This window comes from Homo sapiens, chromosome 5, assembly GCF_000001405.40.
Source record: "Homo sapiens chromosome 5, GRCh38.p14 Primary Assembly".
Taxonomy (NCBI): domain Eukaryota; kingdom Metazoa; phylum Chordata; class Mammalia; order Primates; family Hominidae; genus Homo; species Homo sapiens.
Window position 1 is genome coordinate 14,788,219 of NC_000005.10, and position 19,689 is coordinate 14,807,907.

Below are 19,689 nucleotides of genomic sequence, written 5' to 3' on the forward strand. Positions count from 1 at the left end.
GCTTCCTCTTGTCTTCTGCCCATCCTCTGAGAACAAGGTCAATTCCTTCCTCCCTCAGGAAACCTCCTTAACCTGCCTAAGCCACAGGATTGCTCCTGTCCCAGGGATTATCACTGTCATGTATTTACTCAAAGAACTACTTCATATATGCAAATATACTTCATGATTGTGATGTATCTGCCTGGCACCATCTCTTGGTTGAGGAATGTGCATGACGTGGTGGCCAAACTGTTAACTTTTTATGGCCATCACATCGTGTACATTGTTCATGAAAGAGCATGGTGCCAGGCAAATACACCACACACACTAAGTATATTTGAACATTTCTTTATATCCCCCAAAGCCTTAGAATTAGGGGCTTATATCTGATCATCAGTGACTAATTAATTGCCGTAAGGATTAGGCACTTTCGTATGACAAGTAGGAGGATGAACTCAGGAGTTGAAGATGGAAAAAGTGGTGGAGAAGGCAGTAGAAAGGCAGAGAGAAATACACAGAGAAGGACTGTCACTGTAACAAAGGCTAAGACAGAAACACAGGGGGATAGCTACACAAGTCACACAGGTTAATAATACTAACTGATCAAAATGAGTGGAAAGGGAACTTTAGAATGAAGGTATGTGGAATGCTCCCTGAGCAGCTGTGCAAAAAGGGGGAAAGAAAAAGGTGCTTCACATGCCTTAGTGCCACTTGGATTCTTTGGACATAACTACATCTAAACTTATTTGGGCCGGGCACGGTGGCTCACGCCTGTAATCCCAGCACTTTGGGAGGCCGAGGCGGGTGGATCACCTGAGCCCAGGAGTTTGAGACCAGCCTGGCTAACATAGTGAAATCCCATCTCTACAAAAATACAAAAATTAGCCAGGCATGGTGGTACGTGCCTGTAGTCCCAGCTACTCGGGAGGCTGAGGCAGGAGAATCGCTTGAACCTTGGAGGCAGAGGTTATAATGAGCCAAGATTGCGCCACTGCACTCCAGCCTGGGCGACATGAATGAAACCCTGTCTCCAAAAACAACAACAACAACAACTCAGTTAGCATATATACCATAGTATTTATTTAAGAACGTAAGAATGGTTCCAACCTCAATGTTAGAATCGTTTTACAAAGTCTGACTTTTGAGCTTCCGTATGAGTTAAATGCATTTTTTAAAAGCAAATTTAATATCCTTGCATCACATTTAGGTCCCATTCAACTATCCTAAATTCATGTTGTGCTCTCAGAATGGTGGTGATAAAAAAAAAAAAAAAAGCTAAGCTCCATTTCTAAGCTGTGTCTATCTAGAAATTTTCTAAAGTATTCAGTGTTTGGCTTGGTAACCTCTCTTTAACACTAAGGAATAAACCACAGTAAATATTTCTTTCTATTTTATTGAGAATAAAAGGGAATCTCCTAAAATTGTTTGTTAACTTTCAAGATGGCAAAGTGCAGATTTTTAAAACTGTACTTTAAGAATAAAACAATGATAATTTTGGACTTTGAGCAGTACACATTCTCTCTCTCTCTCTCTCGACAGGATCTCACTCTGTTGCCTGGCTGGAGTGCAGTGGTGCGATCTCAGCTCACTGCAACCTCCGATTCCCGGGCTCAAGTGATTATCCAGCCTCAGTCTCCCCAGTAGTTGGGATTATAGTTGCGTGTCACCATGCATGGCTAATTTTGTATTTTTAGTAGAGATTGGGTTTCACCATGTTGTCCAGGCTGGTCTCGAACTCCTGGGCTCAAGCGATCTACCCGCCTCGGCCTCCCAAAGTGCTGGGATTACAGGCGTGAGCCACCAGGCCCAGCTCACATTTTCATTTTGTGTAAAATTAATAGCTGTGACAATACAGTTTAGTCTGCTTTAAAGTAAGTCTTATGATACCTTCCAATTCCCCAATATAGAATATGATGCTTCTTCACAAGTTAAAATGCATTAAGATTTCTACTCCGCCTCCCTCCTCACATCATTCTAAAAGTACAGAACAAAAACCTTTCTCCATAATTACTTACTTCCATATGAAGATAAAAGTACACTAAACAGATAAAACACGACATAAACTACTATATCACCTAATTTTTAAACCCCTCAAACACACTTGGAACTTAAGACTAGTCCCATATGAATGTGTTCTTGGCTGATGCCAAAAATGAAGAATTAAAAGAGAAAAACACAGATCAGGGAAAAACAGGAAGTCCCAACTTTGAAAAACACTCAATCCACCTTCTATGCAAACCACAAAAAGATTAGACAAACTAAGTATTTGTTGACATTGGCTGTAAATTTTGAAAAGGGAGAGAACATTAAAATATATCTGGAGTGAGACTCAAATCACTTATTCACTGGTTCTTTTCTTTTTCTTTCTTTTTGTAAAATGTATTTTAAAGAAACTGCTCCGTGGAAACCTAAAATTATTTTCATATTCATCCCTGAGTCTCACTCTGTCGCCCAGGCTGGGGAGCAGTGGTGCGATCTCGGCTCACTGCAACCTTCGCTTCCGGGGTTCGAGCGATTCTCTTGTCTCAGCCTCCCTGAGTAGTGGGGACTATAGGCGAGCGTCACCATGCCCAGTTAATTTTTTGTATTTTTAGTAGAGACAGGGTTTTGCCATGTTGGCCAGGCTGGTCTTGAACTCCTTACCTCAAGAGATCCACCTGCCTTGGCCTCCCAAAGCACTAGAATCACAGGTATAAGCCACTATGCCCAGCCAAGATCCAACTCTTTTCACGCACCCTCCTGTGTGTATTAGGGCCTGTGCTGGGCATTTTCTCATGAGTTCTCTCACTTCATTAATCCTCCTGAAAAACCTAGCAAGGTAGAGAGTCTCAGCTCTTGTGAAGGACAAGATGACTGAGACTCATAGGGAAAAACCAATTTACCCAAGGCCATTAAGCTATTAGTGGCAATATTGGGACTTTGGCCTCTAAACCCAGCCACGTAAGCTGGAAATCACGTGGACCATCAGGCTGATATCTGAGTTTCCCCCTACCAGCTGTGTTATCTTAGGCCCCTTCGGGTGCCTGGAGAGGGATGTGAAGAACCTTAACTCTGGGGTGGGCGCATGAGCTCAGTCTGAAAGAGGTGGCCATGTTGACCCAAACTGCCTGAGATGTCATGACTCCTCGTTCAGCAGGGAGGTGAGGAACAGCAAAATGAAGAACTGTGGTAGTTGCTTGGTGATTTCCATAAAAAATGCAAAGATCTAGACTCAATGAAGTAGTTTCAAAAGCACCTTCTATACCAAGTCTGTCTGCTGCCTACCCAAGCTCCTACGGCTGTAATGAGCCTTTTCTTAGCTTCGTTTTCTTTTTATACAAATGGTTCCCTTGTTGTAAAAAAAATGCATAAAAATTGGTTTTGAATAAATCAGCCACCCCAAAGTCAGCTTTTGACTTTTGCCTAGTCAAAAGCTAAGCAAAATCAAGCCCACTTACTACTCAATATTTATCCTCATTGAATTTGACAGCTTTGGAAGGAAAGCACCCAGTGTGTGCAAAGAATGCCAGTTTTGCATTTTCAAAAGCAGCTTCCAGTGATAGCTCATGAAGTCAAAAGTCTACCCCAGCCTCTCCCTTGGGAGCCCTCCCAACTTTTACCTTCTACTCCAGCAAACCTCTGCCACGCAGGTGCTACTTGAAGGCGCTCATCCAGCAATTGCTTGGCTAAGAAGGATTTGTTCAGTACCTGTTATGTGCCTGGTACTCTACTAGGCAAGAACCATGGACCACACACAAGAGGTTTAAAAGCTGGTCCCTGCCTTCAAGGAAGTCATGATGAGAATATGGAACAGGCATAGGACAAAAATGGTGGCTCTGATTCGATCAGCAAGAGCAAGCTGCCTGTGCTGAAGATGGTGAGGGTCCTGGATCCTTTGGGACGAGGGTGGAGGGCTCTGAGGGGGTACAGGGAGTGCCAGAGCTCAGCCTGCTCTGGGCTCAAGAGAGGAACAGAGGCTGGCTCAAGGAAGCGTGCATGGAGTGGAGAGAAATTAGGTCAGGTGTCTAGAGTCGAGTCCCATTATACTGGGCAGGGGAATTGAGATTGGATATGACTGTGATAGGAAAGGCTGCAAGCTTGTGAGTGGAGGATTTATGAAGAACAATCTGGGAAGAATGTGCATAGTGGACTAGAGTGGCAAAAAACAGAGTCAGGAAACCAACTCTTGCCAGAGTGGCAGGGAAGAGGTGCTTGGTCTGGGACCCAGACTGGTGATGATGGGACAGGAGGGTGAAAGCCAACATTTATTTGGATGTGAGAACTAAGATCTGTTTCTTGTCTGCTGCCAGTGGCCCTCCTCCCCAGGTGAATCTCCCTCACAGTGGGGAATGGACCTCCTTCACCGCTCTATCTAGGCTGATGAACACTGATGAAAGGAAAGAACGATTTGGGGGTTTCTAGCTGAGGAGGCAGCTGGGTGCTGGTGAACACAGCTAAAACACTACCCAGAACTGACTACTCATCCTTGAAGTTACGTGAAATAAAAATAAAACAGGGCTGGGCACGGTGGCTCACGCCTGTAATCCTAGCACTTTGGGAGGCCGAGACAGGTGGATCACCTGAGTTCAGGAGTTCGAGACCAGCCTGGCCAACATGGTAAAACCCTGCCTCTACTAAAAATACAAAAAAATTAGCCAGATGTGGTGGCAGACACCTGTAATCCCAGCTACTCGGGAGGCTGAGGCAGGAGAATCGCTTGAACCTGGGAGTTGCAGGTTGCAGTGAGCCGAGATTATGCCACCACACTCCAGCCTGGGCAACAAGAGAGAAACTCCATCATATATATATATAAAAATATATATATATATAAATATATATATATAAATATATATATATAAAAATATATATATAAATATATATAAAATATATATAAATATATAAAAATATATATATAAATATTTATTTATTTATATATTATATATATAAATAAAACAACACTTAGTTACAACAAAGCCTAAAATAAAAGAGAGGTGGACACTCTTACCAAAGTTTAAGGAGGGAGGGATGCGTCAGCAGAGCCAGGCTGCCTTGGACTTGGTCTGCTTTGACCCTGACATCTAAGGGTTCTGGGGCTGGAAAGAGGCCCACAGAGACACTCTGGGCTGCTGAAGACCCAGCGAGGACTCACCTCTGCCACTCAGTCATAGCCAAAGACCTAACCCCTAAATGTTCCTCAGCCATGGTGGCTTTGCCCAGTAGCTCTTGGGTATTTCTCTAATTCCCAGGAGCTGTGCCCACGTTAAACTGGCAGTGTGGTGAGGACTGCAGGGGATCAGAGGCAGTGAGACCACCGGACACCTGGTGGCCAGTTCTCTGGTGGAGCAGCAAGGTAAGTGGTAAGGGGCTGAGTAACGGGAGATGAACCAGGGTGAAGAGGCAGAATAAACAGGCAAAGGACAAGCAGCCAGGCCGGGAGTCTTGCAGGAATGGTGGCTGCAAATCTCAATGGTGCTGTTCTCGCCTTCACTGCTGCAGCTCCTCTTGCCTTGGAGAAACCCAGTCCCAAGTGAGTTTGTCCTGGAAGTTTGCAAGTGACACCTAATGGCCCAGCCAGCTGTGTGGCCTTGCGGGGGCAGTAAGTGAGGCCCTGGCAGGAGCATTTCTCTGCCTTGTTTGCTCTCTCGTGGGGCAGTAAATCCTCTCCCTCTTCATTTGCTATCACTGCATTTCTGTGTGGCTGACTATTGAACAATGAATGGGGCGACCGCCCACTGGGAGAAAAATGTTTTTCTCTAAGTAGAAGAAGTAATGCTATCCACTGATCCATTCTGGCCTGCAAAGCAAATGTGTTTGCTAAGCCAACACTTATCTGATGGCGAACTTTTGTTGGGATAAACAGAAATATCACTAAGATCTCTTTACACTGGTGAGAACCAAACCTCGTAGGACGTAGACAGAGTCAATGCAACTAACTGCATGGCTGTATTCTCCAGGAAGTCCTAACAGCTTTGGGCAATAAGGCATTGTTGGGAAGTGTACTGGGAAAGCCAGCCTATTCTAGAGCAGCAGAGCCTATTTTCAAAGGACAGTTATTTTAGCCACAGAGGAGACCTGGAAAAAGCTGAATTTCTCATGCTGGAACTATACCCTGCAGCTTCCTGTGTGCCCAGCACTGACTGTGAATCCATGATGTAACTATAGTGGGGACCACAGAAAGGAGGCAGGTGAAGTGCAGAGAGGGGCCCTGGCCGTGAACGTGGGCTAAAGACAGCTCGGGGAGCACAGGGAGCATGTGTAAGAGGCTCTGGGGATGTTCCATTGAATGCCTCTTCTCTCCCTCTCCTATCTTCTTTCGTATCCTAATTATCTAATAGTTGTACTACCACAGAAAATCCTTTTGCTTACTGTTGGATCACAGTCTTAAGATAAATGTCCCCAGGTTTACTAACTGCTCTAATTTGGAAATGTGCTGTGGTGAAAAGCTGAATCCCAAAGGCAGATCATTTCTTCCAGTACTGTTCAATTATTTTTCCCACAGAGGTGACAAACTTCAGAAGCAGATGAGAGAGCTTGCTGCAAGTCATATAAGAAGCTTGCTCCTGAACAGATGGGGCCTTGAGACTGGTAAACCAACATGTGGAACTGACTAGTTGTTTTGCTTCCTGAATGATGTTAGGGTTGCACTGAGTGCTGCATTGCCCTTTGAAGAAATATATACGGCATTTGCTGCTGCACAAGGTGAGGCAATGAAAACGGAATTCCGTTGGTGCTTTGGAAGGCATGGTCTTGTGTTTTCCTTTGCTGTACTGTGTATGTTCTGAGATAATGGAAGTAGGAGGAGGTGGTACACAGAAACAATGTGTGCCTGGCACTACTTGTCTGAGTGACAGAAAAATGCCTGGATGCAAGTCTGGTCCAACGTGCATCCACCCACAGCATCTCACTCATCACACATCATTGCAGGCAGCTGCTCTTTTCAGAAGCTGATCCTTCAAGTGTGTGCACAGAAACATTTTCCATTTTCTTGGTGGCATGCTAATGGCAAAGCAAAATCCAGTTGCTGACTTGGAGCCATTACCACCAGCCATGAAAAGGTAGTCAGCAAAAAGAGAGTGGAAAAAATTTATCTTCAACAATGGTGGTAAAATCCAATTGTGACCTACTAAACAATGGTGTTTATTACTTGAACAGTGAACATTTTCTGCATTTGGAAAAAAAATAGATGCAGCTTTTATTCTGAACTAGAGAGATCCCTACAATAATACGTTGTGGTTCTTAAACTCATCTTAAGTTAAAATAATCCCCAAATCATGTGCAATTGATTGATAGGATGTAAAAAACCAAGAAGAAAAAATTCTGGACTCCTTCAGCAAACCTTCACCCTTTTCAAATGAGAACTATATAAAGGATGCTGCAAAAGCAGATTAAAAGCTGGGTGTGGTGGCTCACGCCTGTAATCCCAGCACTTTGGGAGGCAAAGGCAGGTGGATCACTTGAGGCCAGGAGTTTAAGACCAGCCTGGCCAACATGGCGAAACCCCATTTTTAGTCTCTACTAAAAATACGAAACAAATTAGTCGGCGTGGTGGCACATATCTGTAATCCCAGCTACTCGGGAGGCTGAAGCACAAGGATCAGTTGAACCTGGGAGGTGGAAGTTACAGTGAGCCAAGAATACACCACTGCACTCCATCCTGGGTGACAGAGTGAGACTGTGTCTCAAAAAAAAAAAAAAGCAGATTATAGCCCAACATATATAAAAGCGAATATCCTAAGATAAGCCCTGAGACCGTGAGGCTGGTTAATTATTCCTTTTGCAATGTGACACCTTATTAGTGTCCTGTTTGGAGCCTTTAACAGTTAAAATTATTTTGAACATATTTTCCTTCCCAATTGTCAGACTAGATCTTAGCTGAAAAAATTCTTTTCGACGTGATATTTTTACAAAGAAATTTGTATCTGTGCCTTTTGGGTACAGGCATATTCAGACCTTGTTTTATTGAGCTTCATTTTCTTGTGCATTGCAAATGTGTTTTTTTTTTTAATGTAGAAAAGCAATTTATTCCATTTTAAGCACTTACACAGTTAGTCATGGAGAGTAATAGGCCTGCTGGTGAAACAGGTCACCCAAAATGGAGATGGCATCAAACTAGTGGTCAAGGACAAACTCCTAAAAAAAAAGCAACTCTTATCAAGGATTAATTTAATTTTTAAAACAAATACAATTTATCGATTCACTCTTCTCAACTTGACAATCTACCTGTGGTATACCTGTCAGGTAAAAACATACATCTTTACAACTTGGCGGTCCCAAGTTAAAAAAAAAAAACACACACCAACAAAAAAAAAAAAAACACCATTTCACAGACAGGAAATAAACAACATGAAAACAGCTCAAGAAATACACTAACGAGCAAAAATATATGAATATATGGGGAAAGAGGAACGTGCTGTTTTGACTTAACTGAAGAAACCAAGAGGAAACTGGTCTACGTATGAAAATGTGCATCCTGGAAACTCAGGTGTCGAGATTTTCGAGTAGGAATCTATATGACTTGAATCTCCCCTATTTCCTGAATAAAAGTGACATCTTTCAGTATTTATACTTCATGGCTCAGACACCTACCTCATTTGGCTCTATTCTCCTTACTCACTCTAGCCTTTACTTAAATGAGTCCAAAAAACTTGGGGATATAGCATAAGAAGAAAAATAATCACACATAATATTCCCCTTTCTGTAGCTACTTTAGACCTGGGTTACTAGAAAATTCCTGAAGAAAATTTCAACATAACTCTGTAGCTTTGTTGAATCAAGCCCCCCATTAATATTTAGAAAACACCCACTGTTTGGGCTAATAGCATTATCGGTGGTACCTATTATATAGAGGGATAGCTGAATAAAATCTGTCTCAGAACCAGTGTTAAATCACTCTCGGGGTTGAGAAGAAAAAAGGGGAGTCTAAAATCACAAGAAGTAAAGACATATTTAGGACCCTTGTCCTTCTGGATCCATGCTTCCTTCAGGGTCTTCATCATTATAAATGTTCTCTGCCATTTGCCACACTTGCATGATATTGTCTTCCGATACAGAACACATCACTCAAGGTTCACTGGGATTCCAGGAGAAATCAGGTATCTTGGCAGTGTGACCACCATGAATAAACAACAACTCTGGTGGCCTGTCTTCTGCATCTTCTGGGGATTGTTCCTCTCCAATTTTACTTAAATCCTAGACATTCGGTCTGTGATCAGTACCACTGGAAGCTAAAATAGTCTCATTGTGAGGTGACCACTGAACCTGGAATATTTCATCCTTATGTGACTCAAAGGAATGCAACTTAAGTTTCAGATTTCTCAGATCCCACAAGGCAACAGTCTTGTCAGCTGATCCTGTGGCAAGAATGAACTCACTATAAGGACTGAAAGAAAGGCAGTTCACTTCAGCAGTGTGAGTGTCAACTGAGTGGCTTGGTTTGGAAGTATTGTTTGAACGAGTATCCCAAATCATCAGTTTCTGATCATCAGCAACTGACCCAAACAGAGACTCACAGAGTAGATGCCAGGAAACATCTTCTACTATTGCCGTATGCCCTGTAAAGATGGTCTTCGCATCTACCACTTTTCCCTCCTTTGGAACGGCACTGATGTCCCACAGGCAGATGGTGTGGTCATCTGAAGCACTAAGTAAGTGCCCACTGAGATTTAGGTTCCAAGAAAGCCCATAGCCTTCCTTCTGATGTCCACGGAGACGCAAGTCTGGGTTGCATTCTCCAGAAGGATCTGGTTTAGAAGGATGTTTTGTATAGTCAAAGACAAGAATATCACTGGAAGGAGTCTTTGTTGTGATGATACAAGGGTTCTGGGGCATATAACGGGCCCTGTTTACTTTTCCTTCATGGTTGATCTTGATTTCTATTTCAATTTTTCCACTAACTGAACCAAAACCTCCAAATTCTCCTTTCTCTCTGTCGTAGTGTGATGCATCAAACTGAGCATCATCATCAGGCAGCTGCACACTGGCTATAACAAGATGGTTTTGTTCATCCGATGTGTGTGTCCCCAGGACAAGTCGATGAAGGCTGAAATCTTTCCCTTCTGGTCTGGTTACATCTGGAAGCCACTGGGCAGTTAGGCTGGGCCACTCCAGAGCATGGGTCATCACCAAATTATAAAGAAAAGGGGTGTTCTTTTTCCATATTTTGTATTCCTTGTTGATCACTCATTCTTCCACTGTGTTGTCAAAGGCTGCTTCCTTGTCGGCCATGGCGGGCAGGCGAGCCGGGGGAATCCTGGGGTCGAGCGTTGTGGGAGGGGCAGGGAGGCTGCAGGCGTTCGCTCTGCGCACGCGGTCTCTATTTTTTTTTTTAATTAACAAATTGAAGGTTTGTGGCAACCCTGTGTCAAGCAAGTCTATTGGCACCATTTTTTCCAAAAGCACATGCTCACTCTCTGTCTCTTTGTGTCACATTTTGGTAACTCTCGCAATATTTCAAACTTTTTCATTATTATTATATCTGATATGGTGATGTGTGATAGGTGATCTTTAATGTGACTATTTTAATTGTTTTGGGACACCACAAACTGCACCCATATTAGATGGCAAACTTAATAAATGTGTGTGTCCTGACTGCTCTATCCACTGGTCTTTCCCTTCTCCCTTGCCTCCAGGCCTCCCTGTTACCTGAAACAAAACAATACTGAAATTGGGCCAATTAATAACCCTACAATGGCCTCTAACTATTCAAGTGAAAGGAACAGTCACACCTCTCTCTTGGTAAATCAACAGCATTGCTTAGTGAGGAAGGCTTGCTACCAGCTCAGGCCAAGAAAGCTAGGCTTCCTCTATCAGTTAGCCAAGTTGTGCATGTAGAGGGAAAGTTCTTAAAGGAAATTAAAAAATGTTACTTGAGTGGATACAAGAATAATAAGAAAGTGCAACAGCCTTATTGCTGATACGGAGAAAGTTTGAGTGGTCTGGAAAGAAGATCAAACCACCCACAACATTCCCTTAAGCAAAAGCCTAATCCAGGGCAAGGCTCTCACTCTTGAATTCCATGAATGCTGGGAGAGGTAAGGAAGTTGCAGAAGAAAAGCTGGAAGCTAACAGAGGTTGGTTCATGGGGTTTCAGGAAAGAATCTGTCTCCAAAATACAAAAGTACAAGGTAAAGCAGCAAGTGCTTATGTAGGAGCTGCAGCAACTTATCCAGAAGATCTAGCTAAGATCACTAATGAAGGTGGCTACATTATACAACAGATTTTCAAGGTAGACAAAACAGTCTTTTATTGGAAGAAGGTGTCATCTAGGACTTTCACAGCTAGAAAAGAGAGGTAAATGTCTGGCTTCAAAGTTGCAAAGGACAGGCTGATTCTCTTGTTAGGGGCTAATGCAGGTGGCGAACTTAAGCTGACGCCAATGCTCATTTACCATTCAGAAAGTCCTCAGGTCCTTAAGAATTATGCTGAGTTTACTCTGCCTGTGTTACAGCAAAGCCCGGATGACAGCACATCTGTATACAGCATGGCTTACTGAAAATATTTTAAGCCCACTGCTGAGACCTACTGCTCAGAAAAAAGATTTCTTTCAAATATTACTGCTCATTGACAATGCACCTGGTCACCGAAGAGCTCTGATGGAGAGGTACGAGGAGATTTATGTTGTTTTCATGACTGCTAACACAACATCCATTCTGCGGTCCACGGATCAAGGAGTAATTTCTACTTTCAAGTCTTACTATTTAAGAAATACATTTCATAAGGCTATAGCTGCCATAGACAGTGATTCCACTGATGGATCTGGGCAAAGGATAGTGAAAACCTTCTGGAAAGAAGTCACCATTCTAGATGCCATTAAGAGAACATTCCTGACTCATGGGAGGAGGTAAAACTATCCACATTAACAGTCGTTTGGAAGAAGTTGATTTCAACCCTCATGGATGACTTTGAGGGGTTCAAGACCTTAGTGGGGAAGGTAACTGCAGATGTGGTAGAAATAGCAAGAGAACTAGAGTTAGAAGTAGAGCATGAAGACAGGACTGAATTGCTGTAATCTCATGATCAAACTTCAATAGATGAGGAGCTGCTTCTTACGGATAAGCAAATAAAGTGTTTGAGATGAAATCTATACCTGGTGAAGATGCTGTGAACATTGTTGAAGTGACAACAAATGACTTAGAATATTACATAAGCTTAGTGGATAAAGCAAAAGCAGAGTTTGAGAGGATTGATTTCAGTTTTGAAAGAAGTTCTACTGTGAGTAAAATGCTATCAAACAGCATTTCATGCTACAGACAAATCTTTCATGAAAGGAAGAGTCAACTGATGTGGCAAACTTCATTCCTGTCTTATTTTAAGAAATTGCTACAACCTGCCCAACCTTCAGGAACCACCACCCTGATCAGCCAGCAGCCATCAATACAGAAGCAAGATCCTGTATCCACAAAATGATTACAACTCTTTGAAAGCTCAGATGATCGTTAGCATTTTTTAGCAATGGAGTATCTTTTATTTAAGGTATATACACTGTTTTTTAAGTCCTAATACATTGCACACTTAATTGACTATAGTATAGAGCAAATATAACATTTTTTTTCTTTTTTTTTTTTTTTTTGAGACAGGGTCTTGCTCCTTTGCCCAGGTTGGAGTACAGTGATGTGAACATGGCTCACTGCAGCCTTGACCTCCTGGGCTCAAGCAATCCTCCCACCTCAGCCTCGGGTAGCTGGGACCACAGACATGCTACCACCATACCTGGCTAGTTATTTTATTTTTTGTAAAGATGAGGTCTTGGCATGATGCCCAGGCTGATCTCAAACTCCTGGGCTCAAGCAATCCTCCTGCCTCAGCCTCCCAAAGGGGTAGGCTTATAGGTGTGAGCTACCACACCCAGCCCAAACGTAACTTTTATATGCATTGGAAAACCAAAAAGTGTGTGTCACTTGCTTTCATGTGGAATTTGCTTCATTGTGGTGGTCTGGAACCGAAGCCGCAATAGCTCCAAGGGATGCCTATATAATTTGATGTACATATCTTGGAAGATTTAACAGAATTATTGGATCAAAAGGTTTCTTACCTGATTGTTTTAGTTGTCTCTTATCTTTACATAGAACCCTATTAGATGCCTTCTTGATCTTTAAGTCCTTAAATTCCCTATGACCTCCCTAAAAACAAATCCCACTGCTTCCAATCCTTTCCCAGTGCCTATCCTGATGATTACCAACACTCATTCTAAAACAGTGTAGGTTTGGAAATGGACAAGCTAATGCTATGTTACTGAAAGTATACTCTAAGGAACACTATTTCTTCCAGATGTTAATAGGTGCTGTGTATAAAAAACTCTTTATATTGAAATGACTCTAGAAAACAAAATTAAACTCTTTCTCTTTTTTAGCTATAGAATTTCTCAAAGACTTTGTCAATGTATGCTAAAAATCTCCAAAGGGACAGTGGCATTACAGAACTTAACAAATGTTTTTGCCTACAGAACCTTGCTTTTGAGGTTCATGTTACAAAGTCCTCCATAGGACATTTTGAGAAATGCTGCCATGACATCACCTCTACTGTGACATGAAGCGGGGTGTGGGTAAGTGGATCCAACAGGAAAACAAGAAAACAGAATGTCTGTGTAGTCCTTGAAAGCTCAGCTCTTGACTTTCACCTGTCTTCTCATTCTACATATTCCCTAAGACATCAGTGTGTCATGAAAACAATTTAGAACATTACAACCAACAATTTTTATAAACAGAATAGAAAAATGCCATCATGCATGCAGTGGGGATACATCTGTTGTAGGAGTGTGTGTGCACTAACATGTCTGTAGACTAGGCTGCAGGACAGGATGCATTTCCTACTGTGCATTGCTGGCAGCTGTTTCCTCTGGAGATCTCTCATCTACTCCTGCAGTTTCAATTCCTTTCTTCCTGTCGACAGTGCCAACACCGGGTCAATGTTCCTACCTGAGACTTCTCTCCTTGGCCTGAAATAGGCAAAGTCAACTGCCCACCAGCTAGTGCTTGTTGGGTGGCTGGCAGGTGCTTCAATCTCAGTGCGTTCAGAAATGAATTCATCATTTAGTCCCTGACACTCCACAAGGCTGTTCCTTCAATGCTCCATTTCTTAATGGCTCTTCTCACCGAGACTTGGCATTATCTCTGATGCTTCTCTCTCCCCTATTCCTCCATTTTCAATCAATCACCTTGTCCAGTTGATTCTGTCTCCTATGTATCAATTATATCCATCTATCACTTCCCAGACCCACCGCCTAGTGCAGACCAGTATTACTTCTCATGGAGTTTGCTGAATCCCTATTACTACTTGATCTCTCTTGACCTTATCGTTGTCCCCTCGAGTCCATTTTGCTTCACAGATGGAGGGACCTCTGAAGATGCGGCTCTGACCCTGTCTCTCCTCCACAGCTTCCCATCACCCCTTGGCCAAATCTCTGTCTCCTTAGTTTTTCTTCTAAGGCCCTCCATGGTCTGGTCCCTCACCTCCTCTTCTCCATTCTAGATTCCAGACACAAGGCGTCTCCTTGAGAGCTACAGATTCTTCCCTCCCCCTCAGCCATCCCATTCTCCCTCCCACCTGCCTCCCCCTGGCTGCTCCTACACATCCCTCGTCTCAATGTCAGCTCCTCTGAAGCCTTTCTCTGATCCCTGGGCTGGGTTAGCTCCCCACCCCCGTTCCTTCTCCCATAGCATGTAAGCTGCCCATCATGATCCAATCATGGCTTACTGAATTACTTGGCACAGAGTAGGTGCTCAATAAAGACTTGTTGAATGGGAGCATGACTCTCACCCATCTTCAAGCAGGGATGTTAAATTAACCAACTTGTTGGCTCTGGAACCAACTTGCAGAGTGATGTCTGATAAATACTGTAATCCTCTAGCTTGGCATCTTCCATACCGTGAATTGCTATCCACAGTGGGTCATGAAATCAGTTTGATAGGTCACATCCAGCATGTAAGTATATTTTAGTTGTTTAAATGTTGGTGTGTGCATACTGGGCTGCAATGAAAGAACTATTACTGTGTCAGGTGGTGGAAAAGTTTGAAAGCCCCTCCTGCAAATCTGTTTCCTTAGATATGGGCTGAAGGCCATGGACTTCTCTAAAGGTCTTTTAGTCTCTATCTCTTTTTTATTTTAATTTGTTTATTTATTTTTTGAGAAAAAGTGTTGCTCTGTTGCCCGGGCTGGAGTGCAGTGGTGCGATCTCAGCTCACCACAACCTCCACCTCCTGGGTTCAAGCAATTCTTTTGCCTCAGCCTCCTGAGTAGCTGGGACTACAGGCACGCACCACCACTCCCAACTAATTTTTGTGTTTTTGGTAGACATGGGGTTTCGCCATCTTGGCCAGGCTGGTCTCAAACTCCTGATCTCAAGTGATCCACCTGCCTCAGCCTCCCAAAGTACTGGGATTACAGGCATAAGCCACCATGCCCAGCTGCTATCTCTTTTTTAATTTTTATTTTCCTCTTTTGCCTTACATTTTTACATTTTACACTTCTTCTTCTTCTATACTCCCTTGATCTTAGTAAAATCAAGGTCTCAGTTCACTCCGTGATCTTGGCGATATGCAGATCTAGCCCCTCTCCAGCCAAGTGCTCTTTCCTGAGCTCCTCACATGACATCTCTCATTCTACATGTCTAAAACCAACAACAGCAACCATAACTATCATGTGTTACTGGCAAGGAATGTGGGAACAGCTTTATCATTTGGTCCTGTGATCACCTTACATAGCAAATTCTATTAGTTCTCTACCCCCAACTTTGTTTTTTTAGACAGAGTTTCACTCTTGTTGCCCAGGCTGGAGTGCAACGGCGCGGTATCTGCTCACTGCAACCTCCGCCTCCTGGGTTCAAGTGATTCTCCTGCCTCAGCCTCCCTAGTAGCTGGGATTACAGGTGCGTGCCACCATGCCTGGCTAATTTTTGTATTGTTAGTAGAGACGGGGTTTCACCATGTTGGCCAGGCTGGTCTCGAACTTCTGACCTCAGGTGATCCACCCGCTTCAGCCTCCCAAAGTGCTGGGATTATAGATGTGAGCCACCATGCCCAGCTAGTTCTCCTTTTCTACAGAGACGAAGGAACGGAGGCAGAGAGAATTTCATTACTCACCCCAGGTCACACAGTGAGTGCCCATCTGAAACCTGGTCTGCAATGTATGTCCCCAGCTCTGCGCCTCCGTCTTCGGAGCAGCCCTCCCACCACACCATAATGGGTCACTTGTGTCCCTCAGTTGACAACTGAAAGTTCCAGGTATGCAGGCATCCTCTTTCCTTTGTGCTCCCTGCACCCAGAACAATTCTAGGCCCCAAATAAGTAGTGTTGAACGGCAGAATGAATGAATGACTGTGTCAAAGTCCATGACTGATTGGCAGGTAATAGGCTGGGAGAGTCTGTGTCTACTTTACGCTTACTTTGTTTCTTCTGTAAAAATAATGTGATTGTCAGTGATGGACTGAAAACTGTTGTTGGAGTCTCACAGGGGCTGAAAATAGAATAAAATGTTGTGAAACCCCTGCTGACTTCTCTAATTAAGGTATACTCTTGCTAGGTTTACACCTAGAGTTGAGGAAATGGATACTTTCTATGTTTTTTGAACAGAGAAATAAAGACTCTATCAGCGCTCACTGGCATTTCAAACAGGGTGAGACTGGATGGGGAATCCCCAGGCATAGGATTTGGTTCTTTCTCTGGCACATCTGGCTTTGGGATATTAGAGTAATCACTGGGACGTCTTGTGTGAGTCTGATGGCCTCTAAGGTCCTCCAACGACGTGATTCTCAATGTATTTGTATGGCAGCTTGAGGTAGCTAGAGATGACCAAGGTTTGACTCTACCTTTTCTTGCTGTGACGGTTAATACTGAGTGTCAACTTAATTGGATTGAAGGATACAAAGTACTGATTTTTGATGTGTCTGCGAGGGTGTTGCTGAAAGAGATGAACATTTGAGTCAGTGGGCTGGGGAAGGCAGACCCACCCTTAATCTGGTGGGCACAATCTAATCAGCTGCCAGCGAATATAAAGCAGGCAGAAAAATATGAAAAGGAGAGACTGGCCTAGCCTCCCAGCCTACATCTTTCTCCCATGCTGGATGCTTCCTGCCCTCGAACATCAGACTCCAAGTTCTTCAGTTTTGGGACTCGGACTGGCTCTCCTTGCTCCTCAGCTGGCAGATGGCCTATTGCAGAACTTTGTGATCGTGTAAGTTAATACTTAATAAACTCCCCTATATATATGTGTGTATGTGTATATATACGTGTGTGTGTGTGTGTGTGTGTATCCTATAAACATATATATGTGTGTGTGTATATATATATGTACACACACATATATGTTTATAGGATACACACACACACACACACACACGTATATATACACATACACACATATATATATCTCTCCTATCAGTTCTGTCCCTCTAAGAGAAACCTGACTAATACACTTGCTTTAGGTGTTTATTCTAAGGTATCTTTTTTATATGAAACTTGCCTTATTTTTCTTAGTTACCTTGTTGTTGTCCACAGACCCAATCCATACATTTCTTTCCCTGTTAGACAGTAGCTCACACTGATTACCTGACACAATGTTATTAAAGTTGGATGCCTAACGGCCCTGCAGATGGTTCCAACCCACTGCAGAGACATTCACCTTCCCTTGCCACTCGAGGGTATGACCAGTCTCACACTGGAGAGCATGCACTGCTGCTGCCTCGATAAAGCCGGACTCCTGGCCTCACCAGGTGTCACTCAAAGGGCCATTTCGACTGTGCTTCGAAGTCTGTGCTTCTAACTCCTCTGCTTAGCAACGAAGGAGGTGTTTTGAGGCGATACATATAACATTAACAGGGAACTTCTGATTTATTCACAATTGAGATAGGAAGACAAGATAACTGTGTAAAACTTGTGCACATAAGGAGACATGGAGCAATAATACAACTCAGGTGCAACTGTGCAAGAATAATTTTCAATTCTTCCACCCTTCTGCCACTTCAACACATTTGTTCTGGAAAACACTAAAGGTACAGACTGCCTAATTCAATAGCTGTTGAATAAAGCAAAAACATTAATCAGTTAAAGAGAATTATCTCCTATGCAGCAGCTCTTGCCCCTCACGACCTGCACCACCCTCAACCCCCCAAAAAAACTCGAAACATCTCAACATAAAACACATTTGGGTGGGTAAAAAAAAAAAATACCCAATCCATAGAAGCCTACTGCTTAGTCAGGACTAAAACAACAGACTTTAATGCTTTAAATGGAATGTTGACCACAATTTCAATAATTGCCACTTAATAATTATCTTGGAGTCCAACAGAACCCTCCCTGCATGGCAGTCTCTGATGAGTGTTTGCTATTTTATCCCCATTCACACTACAAACCCTTTTTCTAGGTGGTCAGGGGAGTGGCTGTGGCTGTGGCTGTAGCTGTGGCAGGAGGTCACGCTCCTCCTGCTCAAAGGGCAGGGGTGACTGTGGACCATCAGGAGAAGAGCAGGCGAGTTCCTGTGTGTGTTGTTCTTGGAGGCCCTTCTAATGGGAACCGGCTGCGGCAGCTCTTCTATTACGTGTGATCTGTCCTTAGGCGTCATCAGTTTTAACTGTCCTCTTGTGACCTCTTGTAAATATAAAAAGGAGATGGCTGGGAAAGACACAATGAATCTCTGAACTGATGCCTATGCAGTCACAAAGGAGAAACACGGCATGCAGTGTCTGCCCTGGAGAATCTCTGCTTCAGAAAGCCCACTTCATTTTAGGTATAAAATGAATTATCCACATTCTGAACAATAGTAGTTGTCAAAAGTTCAGAAAATATAGTTCTAATTTTTAAACTCATTTTTAAAGTTTTAATCTCACATGATCAAATGTTTCTTTTGTCTCTTTCTTCCTGACCAAGCATTAAACTAACTGCCACAAAGAGTCCTAGCTAATCAGTTATAGTTACAGATTGTCCTGTGTGGTCTGCCATGATATTTCTTTTTTTTTTTTTTTTTTTGAGGTAGGGCCTCGCTCTGTCTCCCAGGCTGGAGTGCAGTAGCATGATCTCAGCTCATTGAAACCTCCACCTCCCGGGCTCAAGTGATCCTCCTACCTCCGCCTCCCGAGTAGCTGGGACTATAGGCACACACCACCATGCCTGGCTAATTTTTGCATTTTTGGTAGAGAGGGGGTTTCACCACGTTGGCCAGGCTGGTCTTGAACTCCTGAGCTCAGATGATCCACCCGCCTTGGCCTCCCAAAGTGCTGGGATTATAGGCATGAGCCACGGCACCCAGGCTGCCATGATATTCCTTACAGTGTTGTGGAGTCAGCACAGTGAGTTTGTAAGGGCTTAAGAATTCTGATACTTCTTGAGCATGTCTTCCTAGGTACCGATCCTTAACCTGAACTGCTGTGAGAACGGTAAACCTATTAAAATGCAATGTTTGTATGCATCATTTTACAAGCACCTGCACTACTGACACCTGTCTTAGATTATAAATCTCTGAGAGGCAGACACTGTGTCCCCCTATAGTAAGTCTATATGTCAGCAAAGTGGCAAATACAAGGGGAGTGATTTGAGGAGATGTGTAAATATCACAGGGCTACAATCCCAACCTGACATCACTGGGTTCAAGTCAAGGAGGTCTGAGTCACAGAGTTCTAGAACTAGATAACCTTAAACATGATCTTTTATTTTGCCCTTTGCAGCAGATGTTCCTTGGTGAGAGGTCGGGGGGGTTACTTGAATCCATTCATTTAAGATCAATTTCAGGAAAAAAGGTAAATTA

At 43.2% G+C, this 19,689-nt stretch overlaps 1 protein-coding gene and 1 pseudogene across 3 annotated transcripts in view; both read right to left on the reverse strand.

The window, feature by feature from the left end:
- ANKH (ANKH inorganic pyrophosphate transport regulator) overlaps window positions 1-19,689 on the reverse strand; it is a 166,979-nt gene that overhangs the window by 83,419 nt on the left and 63,871 nt on the right. Inside the window, exon 1 of one of the 3 annotated variants that reach the window (XM_017009644.3) lies at window positions 8,000-10,203. The exons of the other annotated variants lie outside the window; for them this stretch is intronic. Coding sequence (XP_016865133.1) covers window positions 8,000-8,011 — 12 coding nt within the window. The 5' untranslated portion in view covers window positions 8,012-10,203. Of the gene's footprint in view, window positions 1-7,999; window positions 10,204-19,689 lie in introns of those variants that run through there. 3 annotated transcript variants of the gene reach the window in all.
- On the reverse strand, window positions 7,963-10,279 carry RBBP4P1 (RBBP4 pseudogene 1; annotated as a pseudogene).